The sequence below is a fragment of the Homo sapiens genome, chromosome 1 (genome assembly GCF_000001405.40).
Source record: "Homo sapiens chromosome 1, GRCh38.p14 Primary Assembly".
Lineage (NCBI taxonomy): Eukaryota > Metazoa > Chordata > Mammalia > Primates > Hominidae > Homo > Homo sapiens.
In genome coordinates this window covers 11,180,827-11,208,806 of record NC_000001.11, presented here as the reverse complement: position 1 = coordinate 11,208,806, position 27,980 = coordinate 11,180,827, and the positions used below count along the sequence as shown (strand labels likewise).

The following is a 27,980-nucleotide window of genomic DNA, read 5'->3' as shown; positions in this document are numbered from 1 at the left end:
GTGAGGTTTTAGATGTTTCCAAGTGATTACTGAATTATCTCTGCTGGCCAAAGCCTAAGATATGACCAGCTTTTCACCATGTATGCCATCAGCTATCCACCTAAAAACAGGCAGTTTCAAAGCATCTCTAGTGAATCAGAGCACAATAATCATAATTACTTCACCAACTTTAAATAAATATACCACATCGAGTATTTTCCATTTTGCATTAGTCTTTCATGTTTCTGGTGACTGTAAGCAACTTCCAGTTTAGATTTCAGTGTTATTTTTCATCTATTAGCCATCTCACTCCATGTGCAGCAGCAGATAGAGGTGAAGAACTGGGCAAGACTGTGTCCTAGCTGACTCGTTCACTTCTTTTGGAAAAACCCATAAAGATTTGAACACAGTCCTTTGTGCATGTGTACGGGCTCACGCCCAGCTTTGCGGAGCACTGGGGGTTTATTACTGTTGTTTCAGAGTCTTTACTCACACAAACAGCTTCAAGTGACCACTGCTAAGAAACGTTTGCTGGGTTAAGATGGAGGTAGTAAAATATTCCTGGGTCAGGAGTGATGCTGCTTTCCCTCTGGGGATTTTGTAACTGCTACTCTGAGACTTTAGGAGGAAGAAAAAGGTTATCAGTCACTTGGCATTCCCAGGTAATCATTGAGGCCACCCTGCTGACACCTCACACTGGAGGGAGGGGCCAGGCAGGAGGCCAGATGTACATTTCCACCCAGATGTTTTCATCCTGACTAGGTTCAGAATGTCCTTCCAACCAGGCAGCCGTCCACCCTGCTTTAGAGCTTTGTTCTCTCTATTTTAGGAAATTCCTCAGTAATCTAGTTTGCTTCCAGGAAGTTTTGCTTTCTACCCAGACTTGGAAAAAATAAGCATAAACCTTGCCAGATAGACAAAAGAAAGACTCTTAGTTTATCTCACCTGAGAAAGTAGATCAAGTTCAAAACTCTAGACAGAATCCTCCACAGCTCACTCTCAGATCTATTTCATTGGGAAGTAAATTGTGGGAGCTGGGCATGGTGGCTCATGCCTGTAATCTCAGTAATTTGGCAGGCCAAAATGGAAGAATCACTTGAAGCAGGAGTTTGAGACCAGCCTGGGCAACATAGTAAAACACCATCTGTATAATAAAAATGAAAAATGAAAAAAATTAATTTCAGCCTGGGCAACAGAGTAAGACCCTGTCTCAAAAAAAAAAAAAAAAAAGGAATTGAAAAAATTTTAAAAATTAGCTGAGCAGAGTGGCACCTGCCTGTAGTCCCAGCTACTCAGGAGACTGAGGCAGGAGGTTCACTTGAGCCCATGAGTTCCAGGGTGCAGTGAGCTATGATTGCGCCACTGCACTCCAGCCCAGGTGACAGAGCAAGATTCTCTTCAAAAAAAAAAAAAAAAAAGAGGTAGGGGGCCAGGTGCAGTGGCTCATGCCTGTAATTCCAACACTTTGGGAAGCCAGGCGGGAGGATTACTCGAGCCCAGGAGTTCAAGACCAGCTGGGGCAACATGGCAAAATTCCCCCTCTACAAAAAATACAAAAATTAGCTGGACATGGTGGTGCATGCCTGTAGTCCCAGCTACTCGAGAGGCTAAGGTGGGAGGATCTCTTGAGCCTGGGAGGTCAAGGCTGCAGTAAGCAGTGATCATCCCACTTCACCACTCCAGCACAGGCAACAGAGCAAGACCCTGTCTCACCAACAACAACGACAAAAAAAGGCAGCAGACCTCATTGTTCAGAAGTAAATTGTGCCTCCTTATAATCATGTGATGATAATTAGGGATTGGTGCATTTATCAGTCTTAACCAACTTTCAGAGTAACAATTTGCCACCTCAGTCACCATTTTATTTGTTATGATAATATTAGATTTATGTGATACAGAAAACATAAAAACCATTTATGTATACTTCTAGAATGCCTTCCAGAATTTTCAGCAGCTTTACTGTCTGTCTGAATGATAATCTGTTTGGGTTTACCTTCACCATGAGTAAGCTGGCATTCCATGAACAGGCACCAGCATCACCAGATGAGGCGATCAGCAGTGGGTGGATGGCAAGAGGAAGCAGCTCGTGTTTACACAGTTGTTATAGAACCCAGAGAATTGAGAGTTGATAATGTTTTACAGAGCAGGGGGAAAGGGCCACATGGGGGACTTGGCCTAGTCAATAAATTAAGCTATGATTTTTTGAAAACCTATTTACTGCCATTTATCAAGTAATAGTAACAACTGACATTTATTGAGTGCTTTCCGTGTGTCAAGCACTGTGGTGGAACACTATATTAACTCATTTAATCTTCATGATAACCCCATGAGTTAGGTGCTGTCGTTGCTGTCCCACTTTACAGATGTGGACCGTGAGGCACTGACGGGTTAAGTAATTTGCCCAGTGTCAACTAGCATCAATGGTGGAGCTGGGATTTGACCTAGATAGCATGACTCCAGAGCCCACTCTCTTAACCACTGTGTTGAATTGTCTCTGCCTTACCCAGGCCCAACCTCATTTCATTAGAGGGAAAAAGAAACTAGTAATACTTCCCTGTTTATGTGCAGCTTTTAACAATTGCTGTATAATATAATACAGCTACACACAAACCCATCTTGTAGGGAAGAAACCAGGTATCTGTGGGCAGGAAAGGACTGGATGTTCCCATTGTGCTCAACAGAGCAAGGTCTAAAAATCAGTCTTTGGTATCTAGTCTCCCTCTTCCTTCTCATTCAGAGGTTCTCGTTGTATGGTCAGTGGTATTATTTAGTTTGTCTCTTGTAACATTTCTGCTTCGGTTTTTGACATAAAGTGATAGGTTGTCTAATTCTATTCATCCGTAACTCTTTAGAAGCAACAGCACATCTCCAGTGTATCCCAGGGAGGTGATGGTTGAGTCCTTGATGGTATAGCACCTGGGGGTCTTTTCACTCACTGGACCACTTCACTAGTCCAAAGTTTGAGACCTTCTGCTCTGTCTTACATGATTTCCCCCATTTAGGGAGGATTGATGTGTCCTGCTGGAAAAATCTATGAAGAACATATTTTAAAAGTTAGGGATTTAGTGTAGTTAGGCCTAGGCCAGTTCAAATAGGTGTTGTTTTGACAATAATAACAATCATTTTTTGCTCCTTTATTCCGGCTAAGCCATTTAGACACATTATCCTTAGATGAGGCACTCTGAGGCTCAGCTGCAAAATACAAGTAATTTGCCCAGGGTGTTACAGCTGCTGAGTGGAAGAGCCAGGATCCCAGGCAGGTGTTTCTAACTTTAGAGAACTAGGCAAATAGTACTAACTTTGTGCCAAGCACTGTTATAAATTCATTACATTTATTAACTTAAAACACCCCAGGAAGCAGAAACTATAATCCTCATTTTACAGATGAGGAAACTAAGGCACAGGGGAGTTAAGTGACTTGCCAAAGATCAGAGAGCCAATTATGTTATATAACTGGGATTTGAACTGAAGCCATTGAGTCAAGTGTAGCTGTTGCCCACTACACTATACTGTTCTCCAAAACCTCAGCCTTTCCACCCACCTGAATAAGCTGCCCCTGGTAGTAACTCTTGATGTCTGGAGAGTTCAGAGTTTTGAGAGAAGTTGGAGGGGATAGAGTAGAAATTAAATCTGTTCAACCCCTTTTTCTTGTTTTACCACAGTGCCATGTGCTTTGGGCTCACTGCTCACCTGGTTGCAACATGATTCACTATGGTGTAAACCTGAGCCTTTTCCCTCTTCTTGCGTGACTCTTCACTGTCAGATGAGCTGGTGTTCTAATGCAGAGGACACAGCTCCCTTCATGCCCTGCTGGAGCCCATTAGGCTTTGTCGAATGCACCCGAGTGTGGCAATCCCATGTATTCTGGTTCTGTAGTGCTCCTTTGCTGCAGTCAGAGTCCAGCACAAAGGAGTTGTGAAACAGGCTTTTTCCACAGTGTGGTATGTTCCAGAGTTGCTGTTCTTAATTAAATATTATTCTTTTGTATTTGTACTCTAGGGGAATTTTATCGTGAAAGATGGATTTTATAAATCTAAAAGTAGAATAATCATTAAATAGATGAGGACTTTTTTCAATTGGCCCTTGAAACTGATTGTTTTCCATTGTCACCTGTGGGATCACAGGCCTGGGGCGCTGCCAGGAGGGTCTCCAAAGATGACTGGCTGGAATGGCTGAGACGGCTGAGCCTGGAGCTGCTGAAGGACTCATCATCGCCCTCCCTGCGCTCCTGCTGGGCCCTGGCACAGGCCTACAACCCGATGGCCAGGTATAGTGTGTCAGGGCGGGTGGAGAAGATCAGCACATAGAAAACGATATATACAAATTAGTTTTTATTAGAAGTAATAATCAAGGGGCTGGTATTTTTAATTTTTCTAATTTTGTGGGATACAAAGAAAGAGAAAGACAAATTCAACAAGCTCATACTGTAGCATCTATCTTAACCTTGCTAGTAGACCACAAATTCCTTTTTCTAGTAGCTTTAGGTCTAACATTTTAATTACAAAGTTATTTATAACTCTAAAAGCAACTGTGTAATAGTTGAATGTAACCTATTTCCAATAACAATGGTATTCTAATTATTGCTGTTTGTTACAAATACCACAGGAAAAAAAAGGTCTGAAACAATAACAGTTATTTATTTTACTCCTGAATCTGCAATTTGGGAGGACTTTTGGGACAGCTCGCCTCTGCTCCACATGGTGTCAGTGGAGATGGTTTGACTGGGGCAGGATGGAGGATCCGCATTCAAGGCTGGCTTGTGTGTCTGGCAAAGTGCAGGTGACTCTCGACTAGGAACCCAGCTCTGGCTGGGGGCCTTGGTTCCTCTCCATGGGATCACTCCATGAGTTTGCTTGGGCCTTCTCACAGATGGTGACTGGCTTCAAGAGTGAGTGTCCCAAGAGAACGAGGTAGTAGAAGAGCATGGTGTTTTTATGATCTAAGTCATAAAGAGTCTTGGAAGTCATGAAGAGTCACTTCTGCCTTGCCCTGTTGCTCAAGGCAGCCACAAAGGCGCAGTCAGGCTCAAAGGAAGAAGACATGGGCACCCACCTCTTGAGAGAGGAGAAGTAATATTCTAACAGACTATATGGGACAGGAGCCACTGTTGCAGACATCTTTGGAAAATAGAATTTGCCAGAATTTATTTTTTCTTTTTTTGAGAGTCTTGTTCTGTTGCTCAGGCTGGACTGCAGTGGCACAGTTGTGGCTCACTGCAACCCTGCCTCCTGGTTCAAGAGATTCTCCTGCCTCAGCCTCCCGTGTAGCTGGGATTACAGGTGTGTACCACCACACCCAGCTAATTTTGTATTTTTAGTAAAGACGGGGTTTCGCCATGTTGGCCAGGCTGGTCTTCAACTCCTGGCCTCAAGTGATCTGCTCACCTTGGCCTTTCAAAGTGCTGGGATTACAGACATGAGCCACTTGGCCAAAATTTTTTTTATTGATACATAATAGATGTACATATATTTTCAAAGTACATGTGATATTTCGATACATTCATATAATGTGTAATAAAACAAATCAGGATAATTGGGATATTCATCACTTTAGACATCTTTTTTTGTTGTTGTTGTTTGGTTGGTTTTTTTGTTTTCATTTTTGTTTTTGTTTTTGAGATGGAGTCTTGCTCTGTCACCCAGGCTGGAGTGCAGTGGCGCAATTGTGGCTCACTGCAACCTCCGTCTCCTGGGTTCAAGCGATTCTCCTGCCTCAGCCTCCCGAGTAGCTGGGAGTACAGGCACACGCCACCACGCCCGGCTATTTTTTGTAATTTTAGTAGACGTGGGGTTTCACCATGTTGGCCAGGCTGGTCTTGAACTCCTGACCTCAAATGATCCACCTGCCTTGGCCTCCCAGAGTGCTGGGATTACAGGCGTGAGCCACCACGCCCCGCCTGGTTTTTTGTTTTTGTTTTTGTTTTGGAAACAGGGTCTCTGCTGCCCGGGCTGGAGTGCAGTGGGACGATCTCGGCTCACTGCAGCCTCAACCTCCTGGGCTCAAGTGATCCTCCCACGTCAGCCTCCTGAGTAGCTGGGACTGCAGACACGCACCAGGCCCAGCTAATTTTATTTTTTGTAGAGACGAGGTCTCACTATGTTGCCCAGGCTGATCTCAAACTCCTGGACTCAAGCAGTCATCCTGCCTCAGCCTCCAAAAGTGCCGTGATTTATAGGCATGAGTCATCACCATTTTTTTTTTAATTTTTAAAAATTTTTATAGATTTTGGAGTACAGGTGCAGGTTTGTTACATGGATATGTTGCATAGTGGTGAAGTCTGGGCTTTTCGTAGAACCATCACCTGAATAATAGTGTACATCGTACCTATCAGGTAATTTCTCATCCCTCAACCCCGCCAAAAAAAATATTGTTTTAAATAGTAAATCTTTTTTTTTTTTTTTTTTTTTGAGACGGAGTTTTGCTCTGTTTCCCAGGCTGGAGTGCAGTGGCGCGATCTTGGCTCACCGCAACCTCTACTTCCCAGGTTCAAGCCATTCTCCTGCCTCAGCCTCCCAATGAGCTGGGACTACAGGTGCACACCTGGCCAATTTTTTGTACTTTTAGTAGAGATGGGATTTCACCATGTTAGCCAGGATGGTCTCGATCTCCTGACCTCGCAATCTGCCCACCTCGGCCTCCCAGAGTGCTGGGATTACAGGCATGAGCCACTGTGCCCGGCCTAAATAGTAAATCTTAAACAGCCATTTAAAATTTGGTTTACAGGCTGGGCATTGTGGCTCCTGCCTATAATCTCAGCACTCTAGGAGGCTGAGACAGGAGGATCACTTGAGGCCAAGAGTTCAAGACCAGCCTGGGCAACCTAGCGAGACTCTATCTCTACAAAAATGAAAAATTAGCCAAGCGTGGTGGCATGAAGCTGTAATCCTAGCTACTCAGGAGGCTAAGGCGGGGGGATTACTTGAGTCCAGGAGTTTAGAGGCTGCAGAGAGCCACAATCGTGCCCCTGCATTCCAGCCTAGATGGCAGAGCAAGACTGCATCTCAAAAAAATTTTTTTTTGGTTTATAAAACTTCTAATGCATGTGAAAGATTTATAATATAATGTAAGTAAATAAAATGGAATACAAAATTGAAAATTAAAATAAATGTGAATAGGATAAAGATTAGAAAGTAATATAGCAATGGTTATCTTTAGGGAAGGCTTAAGGAGTGATTATTTTCTTTTTTATTCTCTTCTTTATTTCTTAAATTTTTCTGCATTGGATATTAATTATTTATAATGAGGCATAAAATGGTGATTTAATTAATAAGCAGCCCTTCGCATTGGCAAGAAGCAGAAAGCAAGGCATTTCACTTCATTTTTGTCAGCAGCTGGTTTGCTGTTATGATATATATTTAGCAGTAGTGATGGCCCCTGAGACTGTTGGTTTGATGCCATGATTTGCATCCTCTAATTTCTTTCAAGTATTTTTTAATGCTTTAAAATAGTTTCTAGGACTTCCCTGTTTCCGTAGTGTGGAGATATCATGTACTCAGCTGATGTATTTATTATTCCTCTTTTCTCTCCAGTCACCTCTGAGCACAGTGTTATCCATGAGAGGCTTGTGATATACACAATGTTTTTATCCCCTTAGTCCCAAATACGTTCATTCAAGATCCAATGTGGCCTCTGACCTAGATCAGGAAAACTTTTTTTATGATTTTAGAGATGAAGGTCTTGGTTATTGCCCTGGCTGGTCTTGAACTGCTAATCTCAAGAGATCCTCCTGCCTCAGCCTCCCAAGTCACCAGGATGACCAGCGACTGTAATTACCTGGCTCCGAAAACTTACTTTTAATTTTTTTTTTTTTTTTGAAACAGAGTCTCGCTCTGTTGCCCAGGCTGGAGTGCAGTGGTGTGATCTTGGCTCACTGCAAACTCTGCCTCCCAGGTTCAAGCCATTCTCCTGCCTCAGCCTCCTGAGAAGCTGGGACTACAGGCCACCACCACCGCGCCCGGCTAATTTTTTGTATTTTTAGTAGAGACGGGGTTTCACCATGTTAGCCAGGATGGTCTCGATCTCCTGACCTTGTGATCCGCCCGCCTCAGCCCCCCAAAGTACTGGGATTACAGGCGTGAGCCACCACGCCTGGCCTTATTTTTAAATTTATAACAGACTTTTTTTGGTCTTCATTTGATCCTTTGGATTTCAAATTTTGTTTTTTCTATCAAATTCCAAAATTATACACATTGGTCTAACTTAACCTGTTAATATGTAACAGAAAATAGGTATAGAGGCATCAAATGCTAAATCTATCCATTGTAGGTATATCCTGTTTTTTCCCATTTCCTTCCCCGCACAGTCACCAGAACAGTGGGGAGGACAGAATTAATGTTAGATGTAAGGGATGGCAAATGTGTCCATCATGTGGTACTGTGGTAATGTAAAGTGGTCATAGTAATCTTTGAAATGGAACCTCTGGTTCCATGTCTTTGTGAGGCCCCAACTGTTGGCTTAGAAAATCTTTTAGAACTTAAGGATTTGGATCCTATTTGCTAATGCTTCTAGTCCTGTTGTCATTTTTTATGACCATCCAACTAAGGATTCTGGTTATATTTTGAAAGCAATTGCAGATGCTGCCTTTGACATTTCTGACCTTAAGAATTTAGACATTGTCCCAGAAACATCCCAAGAATCATTTAATGATTATTATTTTCTGCATTTGTTAATGCCAACTTCTATGTTAGAAGTCCCTATACTGTTCATTTCCCATTTCCTCCAGTGAAGAGAAATAATGCAAAAACTGCCAAGAAATATTCCTTTGGAGAAAAGTCACTTTGCTCTGCTCTTCTCCCCGCCCTGCCACTCGCCCCCCAAGTCCCTGAATATCACAATGTCTGTACCTGCAGTGTAAAATTCAGTAGACACTAGCCATATGTGGTTAATTAAAAATAAATAAAATGTAAAATTCAGTTCCTTGGCCACACTTGCCACAGTTCAAGTGCTTTAGTGATCACTGGCTACCATATTGGACAGGAAAATTCTCTTGGACAGCACTGGTCTGTATAGCACTGGTTTGTATAACCAAAATCAGTGATGCCAAAAGCGAATTGATAGGTGTGACTTTGAGGCAGCAGGCAGAGGCACGGGAGGTCTCTCCATTTTCCACCTTCTCTGCCTTCAGGGATCTCTTCAATGCTGCATTTGTGTCCTGCTGGTCTGAACTGAATGAAGATCAACAGGATGAGCTCATCAGAAGCATCGAGTTGGCCCTCACCTCACAAGACATCGCTGAAGTCACACAGACCCTCTTAAACTTGGCTGAATTCATGGAACACAGTGACAAGGTGAGACTTTTCCCCATTGTCCAGATGGAGGCTGACAGGGAACCAGCTGGTGGGAGGAGAGAAGCATCCACACAGCCTTCTCTTGTTTGTGCCCCATCTGCCATTTTCCTGTGCTGTGAGGTTTTGCTCTTCTCCAGGGCCCCCTGCCACTGAGAGATGACAATGGCATTGTTCTGCTGGGTGAGAGAGCTGCCAAGTGCCGAGCATATGCCAAAGCACTACACTACAAAGAACTGGAGTTCCAGAAAGGCCCCACCCCTGCCATTCTAGAATCTCTCATCAGGTAGGCCATAAACCCTTTTTAATTGCTGCCTTCATGCAAAATGACCTCTCTTCTCCCACTGCCTGGTGCCACTTCACTGGAGTCACTTGAAGACTTCTGCTCTGTGAAATCTGCCTCTGGGTCTGGCCAGCATGTTTAAATGACATGTTGTTGCAGATGGCTCTCCCCAGGAATCTAGCCATGATTGTCATTTCTGTTGACCCTTATCACCTGGGCTCCTGTTGTTTTCCAACCTGTCCTTTCTTGTTCCAGTGAAATTTAGTTGAGAAGCAATTCTGTGGCCATGGCAGCCTAGGAAGATAGGTTTTATGTCTGGGTTAGATAGCGCTGTCTAGAGCTGGAGTAGAATGTGCTGGTTCCTGGGCTTCAGAGGGTACTCAAGGGCACAGTGGGGTTTTATCAACTAAATCTATTGATGCCTGCATCTTCCTCCTCTGGTGTTTTGTGAATATAAAAGGCAGAGCATAATCTGAAATCTAATGGTCTTTTCTCTGATGTGGTTATGTTCGCTCCTCTGTTAAGACAGTTTTCAGTCTTCTGGGTATGGAAAAAATAGTTCGTTTAATAAATTTTCTGCTGTTAGGAAATTACAAGCAGCATGAAACATTAGCTCCAGCTCCTAAAAAACCATTCACTTCCCCTAATGATTATCAGAGAATATCAACTTCGGGATCTCATTATCTTCATGTGAATGCTAAATGGTCGGTCATTTCACTGCAGATAGTTTAGAAAAAATCATCTGGCTAGTAAGTTCCTTCACCGTGGCTGATAGAGCCTGCTGTGTGGCTCTATCAAAGGAGGATAGAGCCTCCTTTGTTTGAGAGGGTAATCAAATAGCCAAGTCCTTTCCTAGCTGTGCTTTTGAGAAGATATTTAAAAGAGTTCCTTTAACACTTTAAAAAGTTAGCGAAAAGATAGAAATAGAATCCTGTTTTTGCCCAAATAAATTGGACTTGGAGAAAATGTTGATTTCTGAAATACCATGTAGGAATAATTAAAAACATGCCGTCCTCTGAGGCATGCTTCAGTTTCACATCAGGCACAGTAAATGTGAAAATCCACTTTCTTCCTTCCATCTCTGGCTTAGGTAATGTGCTGTCACTTGATAGCTCATAGAAAATACGGTAACTAAGTATGATCACTTTAAGGTCAGATAACTCATTTTGCATATTAATTTCCTTGCTCACCTGTTTGAGACCTATTTGAAACCTTCCCAATTCCACCCTTAATTTTTCCGCATATTTGATACAATCATAAAAACTTAAAGTTATGCAGATTTGTAGCAGAAAAATATAGTCAGAGGCCTGGAAAAGTGCTCTAGAAGGTTATTTAGCTTTGTAAGCAAATATAATTGAAAGTAAATCCTCAGAATTCCCTGGAGATTGATCTTGTCCTTTGTTTAAAACGCTGTTCCAGGCCGGGCGGGGTAGTTCACACCTGTAATCCCAGCACTCTGGGAGGCCAAGGTGGGTGGATCACTTGATGTCAGGAGTTCGAGACCAGCCTGGCCAACATGGTGAAACACCCATCTCTACTAAAAATACAAAAATTAGCTGGGTGTGGTGGCGCACATCTGTATTCCCAGCTCCTTGAGAGGCTAAGGCAGGAGAATTGCTTGAACCTGGGAGGTGGAGGTTGCAATGAGCCAAGATTGCGTCACTGTACTCTAGCCTGGATGACAGCGAGATTCTGTCTCAATAAAAAAGTGAATGAATGAGTGAATGAATGAATGCTGTTACTGGGGAAAGCCAGTGTGCTCGGCTCTTTGGGTGTCCTCAGCTAAGTCAGCTCAGCTTGCATTTCTGCCTCCCTTCTGCTGGTCTCCTGTGTCTTCCCATCACCTTTCTTTTTTTGCTTCCAATTGCAGTTTTTACTTCTGATTTTGTAAAGCTGCTTTTCCTAAGCCCGGTTGTGGTGGTATACTGTCGTCTTTACTGAAGGAAGTTTTAAGAAACAGCCTTAGACAAAGTTGCTCATAGCACTACCCCTAGTTCTGTGGGTGAGCCTCATGGAAATTCTTCTCAGGGGTCTTTTCCCACTGTTGGTTTTATGTCCCTGAGCCACTACTTGGATCTGGCCTTGGAGACATCGCTTTGCAGTAAGGGATTGAATTCCTTCCTCACAGTGGCTGCTAGAGAGCTTGAAGCTAAATTCCTGGTCTACCTCCAACAAATTCCAGACATCTTACCTGTTTTTACTACTAACCCTCCCCCAACCCCCACAGGCTTTGTTTTATTTTTCCTACTCTTATTTTCCCTTCACCAAGTTGTCTGCTTTTTCAGAGCTTATTTTAGTATATACATTTGAGTCAACTTCCCTAAATTCTTTTTGAAACAATTAGGGTAGCCCTACACAAAAACATCTTTGTTCAGCTATTTCTTTTCTTTTCTTTTCTTTTTTTTTTTTTTAGATGGAGTCGCGCTCTGTCTCCAGGCTGGAGTGCAGTGGCACAATCTTGGCTCACTGCAACCTCCACCTCCTAGATGCAAGCGATTCTCCTGCCTCAGCTTCCTAAGTAGCTGGGACTACAGGCGCATGCCACCATGCCCAGCTAATTTTTGTATTTTTAGTAGAAAGGGGTTTCACCATGTTGGCCAGGATGGTCTCACTCTCTTGACCTCGTGATCCACCCGCCTCGGCCTCCTAAAGTGCTGGGATTACAGGCGTGAGCCACCGCGTGCAGCTATTTCTTATTTTTTTGTCTTTGCTTTAAAAAACTGTGTTCTGTTGACAGTATTGTTCTCTTGCTACTAGTTCAATCCGTCTTGCAACCTATTGACTTTTTTAACCTATCTGCTACAGGGCAAATTAAATCCGAGATGTAATCCCAAATCAGGGCTAACACTGAGATAGTATAAACTACCCCCATCTCCTTAAAGCTCACATATCAGTAAATATATTTGCTTTCTTGGGGACAGAGGATTGAGTGGTTATTTGTTAGAAAGCGCACACACACCACTTTTACTTGGTTAGCCCCGAGCATTAGGGTAAGGTCTGCTGGCCTGTTTTTGCTTCTCTATCCTAAGTAGAATAGAGGGTCTGATAAGGCTGGATGCCTTCACTGCCCAGCCCCAGACGTGTAATCCCCTTTATGAAGAATTGTCCTGGTTGCTGCCCTTTTGTCCCTTACCTGTTCCCTTTTGGCTTCTGCTCCCCGCTTGGTTGCCCTGAACACCAAAACAAACCCCGGGCCTCTGTCACTGCTCACCCTCTGATTTAACTTTAACTTTTTATCCTGCTGTAAGTGGTAATGGTAAGAATTTAAAAAGAAGATACTCACATTTTGAAAGTGTTTATTGTAGAAGGAAAAGAAACGTTGAATGTTTAAAACAAAACCACAATATTTTATTTTTACAAAGTGAGATGCTTATTTACAGCATTTATTATTAACTATAACACCATCTACCTTCAGTTTTCAACCATTTCCTACAGACAAAATTTAAAAGGAAGCTCCTTGAGCTTGTTTCTTACAAAGTAAATAAAAATAGATATACCTGTATTAACTATGAATATTTTAAGGCAGTTTTGTGCCGGCATCCATGAGAGACTCTGTCCACCTCCTGCTGGTGCTTCATTCCTTTCAGTGCTGTACATGACCAAGGCGAGCAGGGGCAGTGCTCAGAGTCTGATCGCCAGATGCAGTGCCCTGGAGTTTCCTCCCCGCAAGTCCAGCCTGGGTCAGTTCCAGCCGAACAATTTTTGTGTTTTAAAAATAATGTGTAGACTCAAGATAATTTCACTGGATTTAAAAATAGAAATACCATTTCCCACCTGCCTCCTTCACTCCTTTCTCTAACACTCAAAGGCCTATCCTTTGAGAATCAAAATAATATGGTTCTTTTTAGCAAAGGGATTTGTGTTTTGCCCTCACATAGCCTAAGCCGTAGAGAAAATAGATAAAACGATCTCAAAATTATTTTCTTTCACAGACAAATCATGTGGAAAAGACAAGCTACTGCTATGTCAGGGATCTTGGGCAGAGAGACCCCACTCAGTCTACCACCTTGAGAAGGATGTGGCAGGACCCAGTGGGTTTAAATAGTTCATCCTGTTTACTGTAACATCCTTGGTACATATGATTTTTTTGTGCTCCTTGGAGACTTATTCTTTCTTTGGAGATTATAGGCTGTTTCTCAGTCCTACCCTTTCTAACACTCTCTTCCTGTCCTCATCTGCCCTCATCCAGTCTCCACGTGTCTCAGTTTCTGTATCCGTGCTCCACGGCAGCCTCCTTTTAAGGCTTGAAGTCTTCTGGGCGGATTTTCATCTCCACCCGTTTGAGGGAGTAGGTAGATCCATGCCAGCCATACCAGGTGATGCCATCCAGGTGCTTATTGTGCTCACCCAGGCGGTAGTACACTCCATTGAGGTTGGAGTCTGTGCAGCAGTTGTACCAGTAGCCACCTGGCATGAGAAACAGACCCAGTGCTAGTAAGTTGACTGTGATAGACCAGACATCAGGTAAGGAGTTAGAGCCAGGGTCAGAAAGAATACCAAAACCGGAATATCAACTGTACAGTTATAATTCACTCTTTCTCCTCAAGTGGGATTATGAGCTTGTACCTGAACTTCTCCTTTCCGGTCCCCCCAAATCTCACCTTTGCGGAGCTGTGCACACTTGTCCAAGCAGTTGTCATTGTCCTTGTCCTTGGTGCTGAAGGCTGTGTTGTTATGATACTGGAGGGCGTCGTTCCCCACATTGCCAGTGTAGTTCCCCAGGAAGAGGCGATAGCTGTTGAGTTCATTGCCCAAAACAAAGTGGCTATACTCAGCGTAGCGCAGGTTGCCCTCCCAGTCCTGTCAGGAGGAGCAGAGCCTTAAAGAAAGTGCAGCAGGCTCCATTTCATGCTGTCTCTATACCCCTTCTCTCCTGACAGTCCCATAGCCAAACATCTTTTTATAGGTGTGAATCTAATAAGACTTTATTACTTGTTTACCTCCAGTTTACTGTGTTAACCTGGGAATCAGAAAACAAGGCTCGAACTTCTTTCCTGATTCACCATATGGCCTTGATTAGTCTCTCTTTCTATATTCCTCACTTTCCTGCTTATAAGGTGCAGCTATGTTTTTGCTGAATCCCACACAGAGCTGCTGTAAGAGAAACATGAGGATATAGTGAGTGCTTTCAGACCTTCAGCAAGGGTCCCCAAACAGTATCAGTAAGATTTGCACCTAAAGGACCTCATGCTCGGCCAGAGCAGAGACTAGTGTTCGGCACAGCTGACTGTTGAATTTGCTCTACTCTGGCCTGGGTCTGGCCTCTTCCTGTCCCACCTGCAGCCCCACTTTTGTCGGGGGGTTGGGGGGGTTGCAGAAAGGAAAAATACCTATTTTTCCTCAACTCCATTACAACTTGCAGGAAAACCATCACAATGAATATACAGATTTGTCTTGAATCAGAATAGGAATGGCACCCCCGGAGTTGTACGCGGTCATGTGTGGTGGCACTGGTCCAGTCATGGGGCCCCTGGCCTTGTGCTTACCTCCATCTCTACACGCAGCCGGGTTGGCTGTCTGGAGAGCCGGTGGATGTGTTCGTTCCCCAGCCAGAAGTCCCCACGGATGCTGCCAAAGCCCTGCTTGTACTGCTTCCAGTCCCGGTAGAAGGAGACAAGGCCACTTTTTCGTCTCTGGATGATGGTCCAGCCTCCGCCTGAAGTCTCCATGTCACAGAACACCTGAAGCAGAGGGGATACTCTGGTGAGGGACTTGCAGGGGCAGAAGGCAGGAGCAAGAGGGCAGGCTTCCCAACCTGTTCCTGTCCCTGCAGAGCCAGTAGATGTGTGCACTCCCGCAGTCACACTGGCTCACTCGGGCAGTGATGCTGCCCCACTGCTGGTGAGCTGGGGTGGGTGGTGCATTGCTCTGGAAGAACGATGCAAATTGGGCCCGGGGGTGAGTGCACATGAAGCTTGGAGGGAAAAATCCAGATACTTTTTTTTTTTTTGAAGCAGAATTTCACTCTTGTTGCCCAGGCTAGAGTACAGTGGTGCAATCTCGGCTCACTGCAACCTCCACCTCCTGAGTTCCAGTGATTCTCCTGCCTTCCTAGTAGCTGGGACCAGAGTGCCTGTCACCACACTGGGCTAATTTTTGTATTTTTAGTAGAGACTGGGTTTCAGCATGTTGGCCAGGCTGGTCTCAAAGTCCTGACCTCAGGTGATTGTTCCGCCCACCTCACCTCCCAAAAAACTTGGGATTACAGGTGTGAGCCACCATGCCTGGGTGAAAATCCAGATAATTTGATGCTGCCTTCGTGTTTTCTTTTCTCCTCCCCCAAGGAATAGCTGTTCTAGGACATGGCAAGAGATTTAAACTAAGTTATGTGGTGGTTATAAGAATGATCTGATCTATGTTAGAAGGCTTGTTGTTTGACTGATAATGATTTGAAGGGGCCAAACAGATGCCTGGGTTTGGAGTGCAGGGCATAAACTGAGTGTTTGCATAGCTCTGTGGTGTTTGGTGTGTTTGCTTGTGTTTGAGTTTTCCTTTTTTTTTTTTTTTTTTTTAATTGAAATGGAGTCTCACTTTGTCTCCCAGATTATAGTGCAGTGGCGTGATCTCGGCTCACTGCAACCTCTGCCTCCTGAGTTCAAGCAATCCTCCTGTGTAGCAGGGATTACAGGTGCCCACCACCATGCCTGGCTAATTTTTTTGTATTTTTAGTAGAGACAGGGTTTCACCATGTTGGCCAGGCTGGTCTTAAACTCCTGACCTGAAGTGATCCACCTGCCTCGGCCTCCCATAGTGCTGGGATTACAGGTGTGAGCCACTGCGCCCAGCCGAATTTTCCTTTCTTTAAACTGTGAATGGCCCTGTTGTTGTAGTCCCCTTGAGGGGGTGAAGGACAGGTATTAGGGCATGGCCAGTGACTGTAATGACCTCACCTCCAGTTCAGGGCTGCCCAGGAAGTCATCAGGAGGAAGCTTATACACTCCAGAGATGCGGTAGTTCTTCTGGTAGAGGGAAGAGCAGTCGTAGATGGCATCTACAAGAGAACAAACCACAGGGTGAGCATTTAGACCCAGTGGCTCCATCTGAGTTGAGTGTTTAGAGACTGAGCCTTTATTTCTACCCTGGGATTCTCAGTGGTGTTAATTACCCATCAGTGTCTGCATTTGGGAGAGGTGGATATGGGGAGATCCAGAGGGGGTGTATTTTGGCTTTACTAGCGGTGGAGCAGAGGGGTAGGGAAGCCCTTCACCTGGATAGCATTAGTGGGACGTTCCAACAGGTGGTTTCAGGTTAACTCTGAAATAAATTATTCTGCTATAGCTGGGCCATGAATTCTAGAAATGTTACAGTGTATGAGGGCCACGTAACAGATACTCCTGTCAGATAGATTCAGACTTCTTAGACAGCCGCCACTATAACAAATCAGTCGTGAATATCTCATAGAGTCTGGTTTTGTTGATGTTTCCTGGTTGGTTGTTTTTGTTGTTGTTCAGAGATGGTGGCTACTGCCACCTGAGACCATAATTAAGGGAGATAGATTTTATTATCACATATTTTCCCCTTCCATCCAGCTAGCACCTCAAAACACTCAGAAGAACCTTTGAGGCCTTCCTCCCAGAAGTTTTGTTAAAACAATGAAATGAGAGCATCAGACTGGCCAGTTTTTTTACTCTAGGGCCATGGAGCTGCTACTTTATGCAGGATTTAAGCTCTGTATTCTAAATATCAAAGAGCATAGTGGAAGAGACAGCCTTTTCTGATAGGATTCAGAGACTGCGGCCCTTACTATCCAAGAGAAGCTTCCTGCCTGCTATGTCTCGGGGTGCTTTTCTTGGTGACCACTGCACTGGGACCTTAGAGAGGAGCACCAAGATGGCAGATGGGAGTTGTCTGAGGCACATAGGTTCTCTTGCAGAGCACCTTGGGAAAGGGAGGTAGAGTACGTGTGCCTTCGCCATCACTATTCTTCATTTCGTCTTAGTGGTGAAAGCACCAACTTACTGCTTCCTCTAAGGGACTACCTACTTATAGAATATAAGGGTAACTGAGCACTTGGTCATAGAGAAGAAAAATAAGGAATGATGTCCTGGGCAAGAAGAGCAAGAGACCTGGTGGGAGAGCTGCACTTGACCCCAAGAACCTCCTTGCAGGATGGTGAGAAAGCCTCCTGTTTGGATGAGCAGGAAGTGGCACGGTCAGATTCCTCTGTCTGGCCTGGTCTTCCGCATGTCTGGTTTCATCTCACAGACCAAATCAGGACTCACTTGTCTGGAAAATGGCCTGAGAATACCTTTCTAATCCCAAACTGAGGGCCCGGAAGTCCATGCTTAGAAAGTGATTGATACATGTTGGTTCAGGTAACAGAATTTTCAAGCTTGGTTTCATGTTAAAACTTTTTCTTAATTTGAGCTGAGGTTAACCATTGACTTAGTCAGTAGAAGCTGATCATGTCTTTGTTCTTCATGTAGTTTATAATGGGACCAATGGTTTTTATATCAGCAAGAAATGACATGTCTATAGGATATGCTCCTTACAACTAATATTTTCCTGATAATTTCAGAAAACCAAATTTTTATCTCTAAACCGTAAATTCATGTTGGCCCACCTGAGCTGAGCTAACCAGAAATAAAAGTTATTTTGCAAAAGAAAGATTAAATTTATCTTATTTTTGGCCTATTAAGTCTATATTTCAGCATTGCATTTAAAAAATCCTGTATTCGGAGAAATTCATTTAAGACCATGGAAAAAAATAGACGTATCACAATTGAGGAACCTTAAGGAGCCGCATCCTTCCTGAACACAAAGGGACTCTTCACATGGTTATGTGTCTCTACACTTAACTCTGAGCCAATGAGAAGAGTTACGTTTACAGAGAGAGGACACAAAATTCCATTAATGCTCATTCCTGGTAAATCTTAGGAACACCAGAGAACTGTTTCTGGCAAAACTTTGCTTCCAGAGGAACAGCTGTTACAGTTTGGTGCTTCCTTGGAATTTCTTGAGATATAGCCTGTCAGCTCTTGGTGAGGAAGTAGCAGAGCTACACCAATCAGGAAGACTTGAACCCTGCTTCTAAGACTTGCTGGGTGACTTTGGGCAAACCATGTAGTATCTCAGCACTCCAAGATGGTAGGCTGAAACACTGTGTGGATAAAAGAGACCCGTGAAGGTGTTAGGTAAACTTACATAGCATTAGAAGTCAAAGGAAATACTGCATAAGCCTTTACTAAAGGGAAAGTGTACCCACAAAAGAGGCCCCAGTAGTGGTTCTGATGACCAGGATATGTAGAAGCAGTGCTGTAGATGGGGAGGCACTCCACGCTCCCTCAGGGGACTGGTCTCCTTACCTGCGGAGGTCTGAGTGACCGTCTGTGCTGCCTGCAGCTGCATGATGTCAATTTGGTTGTTCATCTCGGAGTACTTGCTCTCAGCATCTGTGAGCCGCGACTCCATGCGCTTGCTGTTGCTCTCCAGCTCCATCACCTGCATGACCACGCTGACCCAGTCCCTCTCCTGCTTCTTGTTCAGTTCACTCAGCAGGCTGCTAAGGTTGGCAACTTGGGCCTTGAGCTCCTTCACCTCCTCACAGCAGTTGGCCGCTTTGAGCTGTGGCTGTGCTGGTGTCTTGTGCTTAGAGAGCTTCTGCAGCCACGCTGGGTGGCTGACAAAGGCCACGATGAAAATGCAGAGCCAGGTCACAGCTGAGAGAGGCTTTTTCAGCATCTTTTGTGGGTTTGGGTGAGGAAGGCTCTTCCTTCAGGGGAGTCTGGAGATGCCCAGCTGAGGTCTGCAAAGCTGCAGCAGGCTGACTGAACCTTACGCTTTCACTCTGAGGGCCTCGCCACTTTGTTGTTTTCTCTCTTTCCTTGCTCTTTGCTAGCCTTTCTCAAAGCTTGAGTCTCTGACAGGGGAGCTGAATGGGTAGCCTATAGCTTTCCTTCCAAGCCCGAATGCTCCACAAGTCAGCATCTTAAATATTGTTTGCTGCCTGTACCTCCACCCCTACCATGGCTGCACCAGGCTTTAGCCCCTCCCAGCTCATCTGGGAGGGTCAGGTGCCTGTTGGGTGAAGTCAGCGGCAACTTAGGCCAGAGGAGGGGAGGAGGGAGATGGGGCGAGTCTTTCTTTCCTTGCCTGTACAGTCTCTGGGCTAAGACAAGAGGACTGTGAATTTGTGTGTTTCCAGTTTCGCCTATTAGATTATGCCCCTGCCAGCCACTGGCTCAACTCTATCAGCAAGCAGGACAGGGTCAGAAGAATTTCCAAATTCCGTTCAAAAGGTTATATAACCATGGGGTGAGCGTAAGGTAGGCGAAAGAGACGCTACTCACCCAGGGAGGCCTGTTAATGTAATCCATGCTGTTTATATGAGGATCTGGTATATTTTGACATCCTGCTGAATATGCTTTTATCTAGGCTGATTATTCCCATCTCTGATCATTATTTAGTATTTTATAAAATCCTTACTCAACCTGGATCTAACACTATCTCACATTTGAAATCTTCCAACTTAGAAAAGTTCTAGAAATAGAAGAATAGAGTAAATCTCTTAGGAAGCCAAAAAAAGACTTTGTAGCCACAGGGTTTGGACAGTTGTCTTTTTACATGCTTTCTCCTTCAACAAAGAGAGGGCCAGTATTAGCATATAACACTTGATATTTTGCAAGGAGGTGTCAGAAGATTACAACAGAGATGAAAACTCAGCAGTGCCAAGCATGTCTGGGATTGGTCACCCATGCTTCTGTCAGTTTCTAGGCAGGACAGAGAACAGGCCCATCCTTAGCCCGTGGTTCAAAACTTGGAAAATATATTAAAATATAGAGAAAAGAATCCCTGTCACCTAATAAATCCATATCTAGAGTCTCATTTCCCTCTTTCTTTGCTGGTATGGTTTGCAATTTGAAATTATTCCTCCTCTATTTGTATATGACTTTGTATCTAAAAAACATGAATATTGTAATTTTTCATGTACTATATATGAAGGACAATGCTCTTTTGAAAAGAAATGTGAAAAACATGGAGTTTCAGCAAACATCCTTAAAATAAGCTTTTCACTAAGAATCTATACAAAGGTTCCTCTGTCCTTAAAACAGTAACTCTGTCTTTGGAACATACGATTGCTGTTTCCATGTTATGGAGCCACTCAGGCAGTTACTTGTACTGTTGTAGTCAGCGTGGGTCCTTCCCACATAAGCCTGATGCCTGACAGCTCTCCTCCCATGCCATAATCCCCCAGAGCTCTTTTCCAGTCAGGGCTTCTAGCTCCTCAGAAAGTAATTTCTGTTCAGGCAGCTGGAGTTACTGAACAATTTTTTTTTTTCTCAGAATCAAAAAGCAGTGGAGGATCAGGTGGATCAGAGTTTGTTTTCTCACATACCCAGCCTCCTTTGCCTGCTAAAGGGTGAGGATGTTACTGATACCCTTATAGCAACTTGGCATTCTAATCAAAAGATTCTGTTGAGAATTGGCACTGTCTGCCAGTCTGCTCTCTTTTTGCAAATGTCTAGCCCAGCTGGGCACCACAGCCTTAGCTCCATAGCATTCATTTTAGTAACGAGACTCTGGCCCCAAATATTGGCATCCTACAAGGTCTGCTAAAAATAGGGATTTTCAAGTGGATCTCCTGGCCATCAAATGACACTGAGCTTAAACCACATGCCACAGAAGTGCTATGTACCATACAGTCATGTATAGCAGGGGTCCCTAATCCCCAGGCTGCAGACCTGTACTTGTCCATGGCCTGTTAGGAATAGGGCCATACAGCAGGAGGTGAGTGGCAGGTGAGTGAGCATTACCGCCTGAGCTCTGCCTCCTGTCAGATCGGTGGCAGCATTAGATCCTCACAGGAGTGTGAACCCTGTTGTGAACTGCACATGTGAGGGATCTAGGTTGCGTGCTCCTTGTGAGAATCTAAGTACTGCCTGAAGATCTGAGGTGGAACAGTTTTACCTCAAAACCATCCCCCATCTCCCCACCCCCACCCTGGTCCATAGAAAAATTGTCTTCCACGAAACCAGTCCCTAGTGCCAAAAAGATTGGGGACCACTGATGTATAGCATCCCACGTGACCCTGCTGCCTTGGAACTCTCATGTAACAGTGCAGCAGAGAAAGCACAAAAGAACAGTGGAACTTTGTGGAGTTCTAGCCAGCTTTTGTTTATTCTTCCCAGTAGCTCACCCAAACAGGAAAGTGTTATGAATTGATTCTTATATGTGGGCAGAAAATAAATTAATCATTCATATTTGTACCCCATGTAACAGTCCCTTTTAGGAAAGGTAGGAGGAGGTTCGTAAGTTTGTATTGGAAGCATCTAGCCTTTAGCATGAGTGTCTGGTCTTTGACATTTATTTTCTGGAAACTTATTTCTAACATAAGGCAATACTTGAAGACAGAAGACAGAAGCTCTTGAATTGCATAAGCTACCCAAATGTCAATACTCACCCCCCCTCCAGTTTTGAGGAAAAATAGCTAATTAAGGATATTTCTCATGCCAGAAGATTATCTATTTTCTAAAACATCCACAACCTTATGATGTCCTAGATTCTGAATATCTAAATGAAGGAAAAAGAAGTCCTTGTTTTGAGCACAGCTAAGCCAGTAGAGAAAACCATGAAGGATGTGGAGGACTAAAATGGTATTGCCTTCTCTGAAAGAGGCTTTTAAATCCTTCTTCTGCCTTTCAGTGAGCAGAGTGACCTTAAAAATGGGAATTAACTGACAAAATCTGGAAAACCTAGGTTGGATACTGTTTAGATTTTCCTTTTCTCCATTTTGCTGGTGTTGAAAGAGGGCTAGCTTGGTGCTCCTGGAAAAGGTGTTTATGAAAATTAAGCTTTTGTTCTTAATGAAAAAAGTCAGTGAGGTTGTACTCAACCTGGAGGTTCTCAAAAGACTTCACAGTGTTTGGGCCGCACTGCCTTGGGCTGGCACCAAGGTAGTCTGAGGGTCACAGGGCAGGGGAGCACCTAGGGGTGGTCTCTCCTTCTATCCAGAGAGGAGCATCAGATCCCATTTGCTTGAAAATGCCCCGTTGGAGAGACTGCTGCCCACTCTCAGCTTGTGGAATGAATACATCTCAGAAGAAGCTGCCTTGCTGTTAGTTTTAATTGTGTATCTCAAAGGAATATTTCACTTCTTCTGAAGTCTTTGAAAAAACCACAGCCTGCCATACTCTATACAGCCGTTGAATATCTGCCTTTTTTTTTTTTTTTTTTTTTTTGAGACGGAGTCTTGCTCTGTCGTCCAGGCTGGAGTGCAGTGGCACGATCTTGGCTCACTGGAAGCTCTGCCTCCCGGGTTCACGCCAATTCTCCTGCCTCAGCCTCCCAAGTAGCTGGGACTACAGGCACCTGCCACCATGCCCAGCTAATTTTTTGTATTTTTTAGTACAGGCAGGGTTTCACCATGTTAGCCAGGATGGTCTCGATCTCCTGATCTGTTGATCCACCCGCCTCGGCCTCCCAAAGTGCTGGGATTACAGGTGTGAGTCATCATGCCCGGCCACATATCTGCCTTTCTAGCACTCCATCCCATTCCTGTCTCAACTGAAAGTCCAAGTCCATCACAGAAGATATTTCCATCTTTTCCCTGAGCTTTCTAATTTGCCACTTCTATCAAAGAATGTGTCCTGAACCTATTAGAAGTCTTTTCTCTCAGGCCTTCTCTTAGAGTCCTGTTTTGTTTTGTTCTGTTTTGTTTTGTGACAGGGTTTCACTCTGTTCAGGCTAGAGTGCAATGGGGCAACCATGGCTCATTGCAGCCTCAACCTCCCAGTCTCAAGTGATCCATCCACCTCAGCCTCCCGAGTAGCTAGGACTGCAGGTATGCACCACCACACCCAACTATCTTTTTTTCTTTCTTTCTTTCTTTCTTTTCTTTTTTTTTTTTTGTAGTGATGGGGGTCTCACTGTGTTGCCAGGGCTGGTCTCGAACTCCTGGGCTCAAGTGATCCTCCAGCCTCAGCCTCTCAAAGTGCTAGGATTACAGGCATGAGCCACCACACCTGGCCAGAGTCAGTTTTAAATTATGGAATATAGTAAAAAAAAAAAAAAAGTCTCTCTGATTTCTGTCAGGACTTTATAGCTCTGTTAGCCTCCACTCAAGTTGCACAATCCAGCGATTATTCTGGCCCAGTGTCTGGCAGTCTAGTTAGACAGCTGAACTCTTGGACAGTGTGACATGCTAGGATGGGAGACACAGAGGACAAGGAGGGCCTTCTAGAGAAGTGATACCTAGGTTTTAAAGAAAAAGGAGGAAATAGCCAGGAATGGGAGAGGATGTTGTAAGCAAAGGTGCAGCTATGTGAAAGACTTGGACTAGTGGGAGAATGTAAGTAGTCGAGTGTGGCCTAAGAGTCAAAGGGAAGAAGAATGGCAGCAGAAGCTAAAGCTGGAGAGGTGGAGGGGGGCCGTGCCCGGGGAGCCCAGGTGAGGAGCGGGACTGATCCTCTGTAGACATGGGAAGGAATCCTAGAGGTTTTTCCCTCTTGTTCCATTGTTTTCCTGAGTTCCACCAGGAAAGTGGCCTTGGTAATTGCCAAACAATTTTTTTTTATTTTTTATTTTTTTTAGAGACATAGTCTCATTCTGTTACCCACCCTGGAGTGCTGTAGTGCAATCATATAGCTTACTGAAACCTGGAACTCGTGAGCTGAAGCAGTCCTCCTGCCTGAGCCTCCAAAGTAGCTGGGAATACAAGCGCACACCAACACGCCTGCCTGTTTTTAAATTTTTTTGTAGAGACGGAGTCTCACTATGTTGAGGCTGGTGTGGAACTCCTAGCCTCAAGAGATCTTCCCATCTCAACCTCCCGAAGTGCTAGGATTATAGGCCTGAGCCACCACACACAGCCCAAACAAGATTTTTTCACCGCAAATGAATGATTTAGAACGTGAGAATTTCTTAAAATTGTAATGCATTCATATTAAATACCCTGACGGGGTCATTTGGCATTAGGATTAAGGAGGTAGTACATATAGCACTTGAGTTCTTAGGCCTAGAAGCAGACAAATCTGGATTCTAATCCCTCCCTAGCACTTGGTTGCTGTGTGGCCATGGACATATTACTTCTCTGAGTTTGCCAACCTGTGAAATGGAGATAAAAATCAAAACTATCTCATACCACAGGCTTTTCATGAGAATTAAATAAAGCAAAGGGTTAAATAACCAAGGTATTTTTGGATAAGGAAAATAAATTTGGAAGAGTTACACTACTACATATCAAGATTTATCATAAAGCTGCAGTAAGTAAGGCAGTACAGTAGTGACATGGATGAACAAATGGAACAGAATTAAATGTCCAGAAACAGACCCACATATGTAGAGATACTTAATTTTGTGTATTTATATTTATGTATTTATTCCTTTCCTCTCAAGCCATGTGATATAGACACTTGATTTATAACAAGGTAGCACCACAGAGTGGTGAGGAAAGGACTGCTAAGTCAGCTCAGTAGCCTTATGGGGGAAGAAAATTTTTTTTTTTCCCTCAGTGATCCTTTTTCTGAAAGAAAAGACTGTTGATCGTTACCTCACACCACACACAAAAGCTCAAGTCCAGGAGATTTAAACTCTTAAGTGTGAACAGTAAAACAATAAAATTTATAGAGGATAACGTAGGAGATTAAGTGGCTTCCTAAGATAAGCAAAGATTTCTTAAGATAGAAAAAACACCAATCATAAAGGAAAATATTAAGAAATGCAACAAAAGTAGTCATTCTGTTCATTGGAAGACACAATGAAGAGAATGAAAGGCAAGAAATATTTCTATTATCTTCAATATTGTATATGTATTATACCCAGAGTGTATAAAGAACTCTTATCAAACAATAAGGAGGAAAAAGGTAGCACAATAAAAAGATTGGTAAAAGAAGCCAGGTACAGTGGTGTGTACCTGTAGTCTGAGCTACTCGGGAGGTTGAGGTGGAAGGATTGCTTGAGCCCAAGAGTTGGAAACCAGCCTAGGCAACATAGAGAGACTCTGTCTCAAAAAGAAAAAAATAAAATATTGACAAAAGATGTGAACAGGCACTTAGTTCACAAAGATATCCAAAAGGCTTATAAATACATGAAAAGCTATCCCATCTCATTAGTCATTATGGAAATAAAAATTTAAATCATAATAAAATGCCACTGCACACCAACCAGAAGGGCTGAAATGGAAAAGGCTGAAAATAGCAAATGTTGACAGAGATTGTGAAGCAATTGGGCTTTTCATGTCCTATTGGTAGAAATGTAAATTGGTAAAGCCACTTTGGAAAACAATCTGTCAGTATCTTATAAAGCTAAACATATCCTTATATGTAACTCAACAATTCTGCTATAGATATTTTCCAGCAGAAGTGCAAGCACACATGCTCCAGAAGACATGGACAAGAGTGTCCGCGTACTACCCCTCGTAATAGCCAAACACTGAAAACAATCCAAGTGTTCATCTGCAGTAAGATAGGTAAATGGTGGTATATTCACACCGTGAAATACTGTTCAGCAATAGAAAGGAAAAGCTGTTGCGACGTGCAGCAGCCTGGGTGCATGTCACAAACATAGTGTTGAATGTTTATATAATTAAGCTCAAAAACTGAGCAAACAACCCCATTGTGTTAGAAGTCAGAGTAGGGTTTACAGACCTCTGGGGACACAGAGGGGAGCAGTGATTGGGAGGGGGCTCAGTGCCTCTGAGCTGCTGGCAGCTGGTTGTGTTCTGTTTCTGGTCTGGGTGGTAATTACAAAGATGTCTTCACTTTATGATAATTCATCAAACTGTACACTTAGGTGTTATATTCTCCTATATTTATGTATACTTGAATTAGGATGTTTGTGTAAAAATAGATAATGCACATAAAACACTTGAACTAGTATCTGACACATAGTCAACGTCTAGCAAATATCAAGTAGTAGTATTGTACCAAGTAGTAGTATTGTATTATTTAGTACACAATTGTTGTCTCGTCATAAAAGTATTTGCTGACTACTCTAGTCTAACATAAATCCCCATAAATCCCCATGTTTTTCTCTAAGCACTCTGTTCTCTTCATGGTATTTGCCACAAAAGCACTTATTTCAGTTTGTACTTTTTTTTTTTTTTTTAAGATGGAGTTTCGCTCTTATTGCCCAGGCTGGAGCGCAGTGGCGCAATCTCAGCTCACTGCAACCTCCGCCTCCCAGGTTCAAGCAATTCTCTTGCCTCAGCCTCCTGAGTAGCTGGGATTACAGTCATGCACTGCCATGCCTTGCTAATTTTGTATTTTTAGTAGAGAGGGGGTTTCTCCATGTCGGTCAGGCTGGTCTCGAACTCCTGACCTCAGGTGATCCGCCTGCCTTGGCCTCCCAAAGTGCTGGGATTACAGGTGTGAGCCACTGCACCTGGCCTCGGTTTGTACTTTTTTGTGTATCTACTTCTCTAACCTGTAAGCTCTGCGAAAGCAAAGAACATGTTTCTCTTATTTTCCACAGTACCTCTAGCATCTAGCACTTAGCATAAAGCCTAAGACAAAATGCATACTAAATTAGAACTTGTCAAATGAAATAATGAATTTCAAAGAGAAGGTTCTCTTCCCCCTAAATATCTATTATGGAGACTTACAGTCTCTCTCCATGGACGTTTCCAGTGTTTTACTGTGGTGAGGTCTTCGCTGTAGGGCATCACATTCTGTCCTGCATGGGGTCAGTTTTCCTTCTTCAGGTCTTAGTCATAGAATCAAAGAAAGTGAAAACTGGGAGAGTTGAGATCCTTTGTTTCAACCCTCTTTTTAATTTTTATTTTATTTGTTTATTTATTTTGAGATGGAGTCTGGCTCTGTCGCCCAGGCTTGAGTGTAGTGGTGGGGTCTCAGCTCAGTGCAACCTCCGCCTCCTGGATTCAAGCAGTTCTCTTGCCTCAGCCTCCCGAGTAGCTGGAATTACAGGTGCCCACCACTACATCCGGCTTTGACCCCATTTTTTAAATCAATAACTTGAGGTAGCTTCCTTATTGTATAATATATTGCATACATATTCCTAGACATCACCAGGCTGTGTCTCATCACTTTTTTTTTTACTTAGGAAGATGATCAGCAAGAGGACCACAGAGTATCTGAGATCAGGTTTTCTCCCTCTCCTGTTTATTCCAGAAGCCAGTGTAAATGACATGTCTGATTACTTCAACCTGCACTGGCCCTAGGGGCTGCATGCAACAGCTAATGTTGACAAAATGAAGAAAGTAACATGTCCCCATAAAAACTGCCTTATTTCGGGCGGGCAAGGTGGCTCATGCCTGTAATCCCAGCACTTTGGGAGGCCAAGACGGGCAGATTACAAAGTCAAGATATCAAGACCATCCTGGCCAATGTGGTGAAACCCCGTCTCTATTAAAAATACAAAAATTAGCTGGATGTGGTGGCACACTCCTGTAGTCCCAGCTACTTGGGAGGCTGAGGCCAGAGAATTGCTTGAACTCGGGAGGTAGAGGTTGCAGTGAGCCGAGATCGCACCGCTGCACT

General features: G+C 43.7%; 2 protein-coding genes across 11 annotated transcripts in view, besides 2 other annotated features; one reads left to right on the top strand and one right to left on the bottom strand.

Moving 5' to 3' along the window:
• The window catches only part of MTOR (mechanistic target of rapamycin kinase), a 156,017-nt gene that overhangs the window by 53,745 nt on the left and 74,292 nt on the right, over positions 1 to 27,980 (top strand). For all 8 annotated transcript variants that reach the window (XR_007058581.1, NM_001386501.1, NM_004958.4 and 5 more), the window contains 3 exons: positions 4,104 to 4,246; positions 9,104 to 9,266; positions 9,404 to 9,549. Coding sequence is in view for 7 of the 8 variants with exons in the window: in NM_001386501.1 (NP_001373430.1) it covers positions 4,104 to 4,246; positions 9,104 to 9,266; positions 9,404 to 9,549 (452 nt within the window). In the remaining variant the exon portion in view is untranslated. The remainder of the gene's footprint in view (positions 1 to 4,103; positions 4,247 to 9,103; positions 9,267 to 9,403; positions 9,550 to 27,980) is intronic.
• Positions 12,826 to 19,452, bottom strand: ANGPTL7 (angiopoietin like 7). 3 transcript variants are annotated; one of them, NM_021146.4, is made up of 5 exons: positions 18,852 to 19,452; positions 16,437 to 16,537; positions 15,033 to 15,227; positions 14,148 to 14,346; positions 12,826 to 13,953 (listed from the first exon to the last, which is right to left on the bottom strand). In NM_021146.4, the coding sequence occupies exons 1-5, from the start codon at positions 19,225 to 19,227 to the stop codon at positions 13,784 to 13,786; spliced, it is 1,041 nt and encodes a 346-aa protein (NP_066969.1). In that variant the 5' UTR covers positions 19,228 to 19,452; the 3' UTR covers positions 12,826 to 13,783. The 3 variants fall into 3 exon arrangements, with proteins under 3 accessions (NP_066969.1, XP_047280386.1, XP_016855493.1); XM_047424430.1 differs by lacking the exon at positions 12,826 to 13,953 and having other exon boundaries at positions 14,173 to 14,281; XM_017000004.2 differs by lacking the exons at positions 12,826 to 13,953; positions 14,148 to 14,346 and adding an exon at positions 14,398 to 14,640.
• Positions 14,128 to 14,328: a silencer, noted in NCBI's record as "peak73 fragment used in MPRA reporter construct". NCBI's record gives its function as "represses an SCP1 promoter by STARR-seq MPRAs in K562 erythroleukemia cells {active_cell/tissue: K562}" and the evidence as "EXISTENCE:reporter gene assay evidence [ECO:0000049][PMID:32103011]".
• Positions 18,599 to 19,099: an enhancer, noted in NCBI's record as "H3K4me1 hESC enhancer chr1:11249765-11250265 (GRCh37/hg19 assembly coordinates)". NCBI's record gives its function as "activates a minimal SCP1, AML or CMV promoter by ChIP-STARR-seq in primed H9 embryonic stem cells {active_cell/tissue: H9 hESC(primed)}" and the evidence as "EXISTENCE:reporter gene assay evidence [ECO:0000049][PMID:30033119]".

Excerpts from the sequence above, each read along its gene's own strand:
- ANGPTL7 (NM_021146.4), bottom strand. The coding sequence starts at position 19,227 with ATGCTGAAAAAGCCTCTCTCAGCTGTGACCTGGCTCTGCATTTTCATC. Across the intron at positions 15,228-16,436 it reads TGGGCAGCCCTGAACTGGAG|GTGTTCTGTGACATGGAGAC; the intron begins GTGAGGTCATTA and ends CCTCTGCTTCAG. Across the intron at positions 13,954-14,147 it reads GTGTGCACAGCTCCGCAAAG|GTGGCTACTGGTACAACTGC; the intron begins GTGAGATTTGGG and ends TTCTCATGCCAG.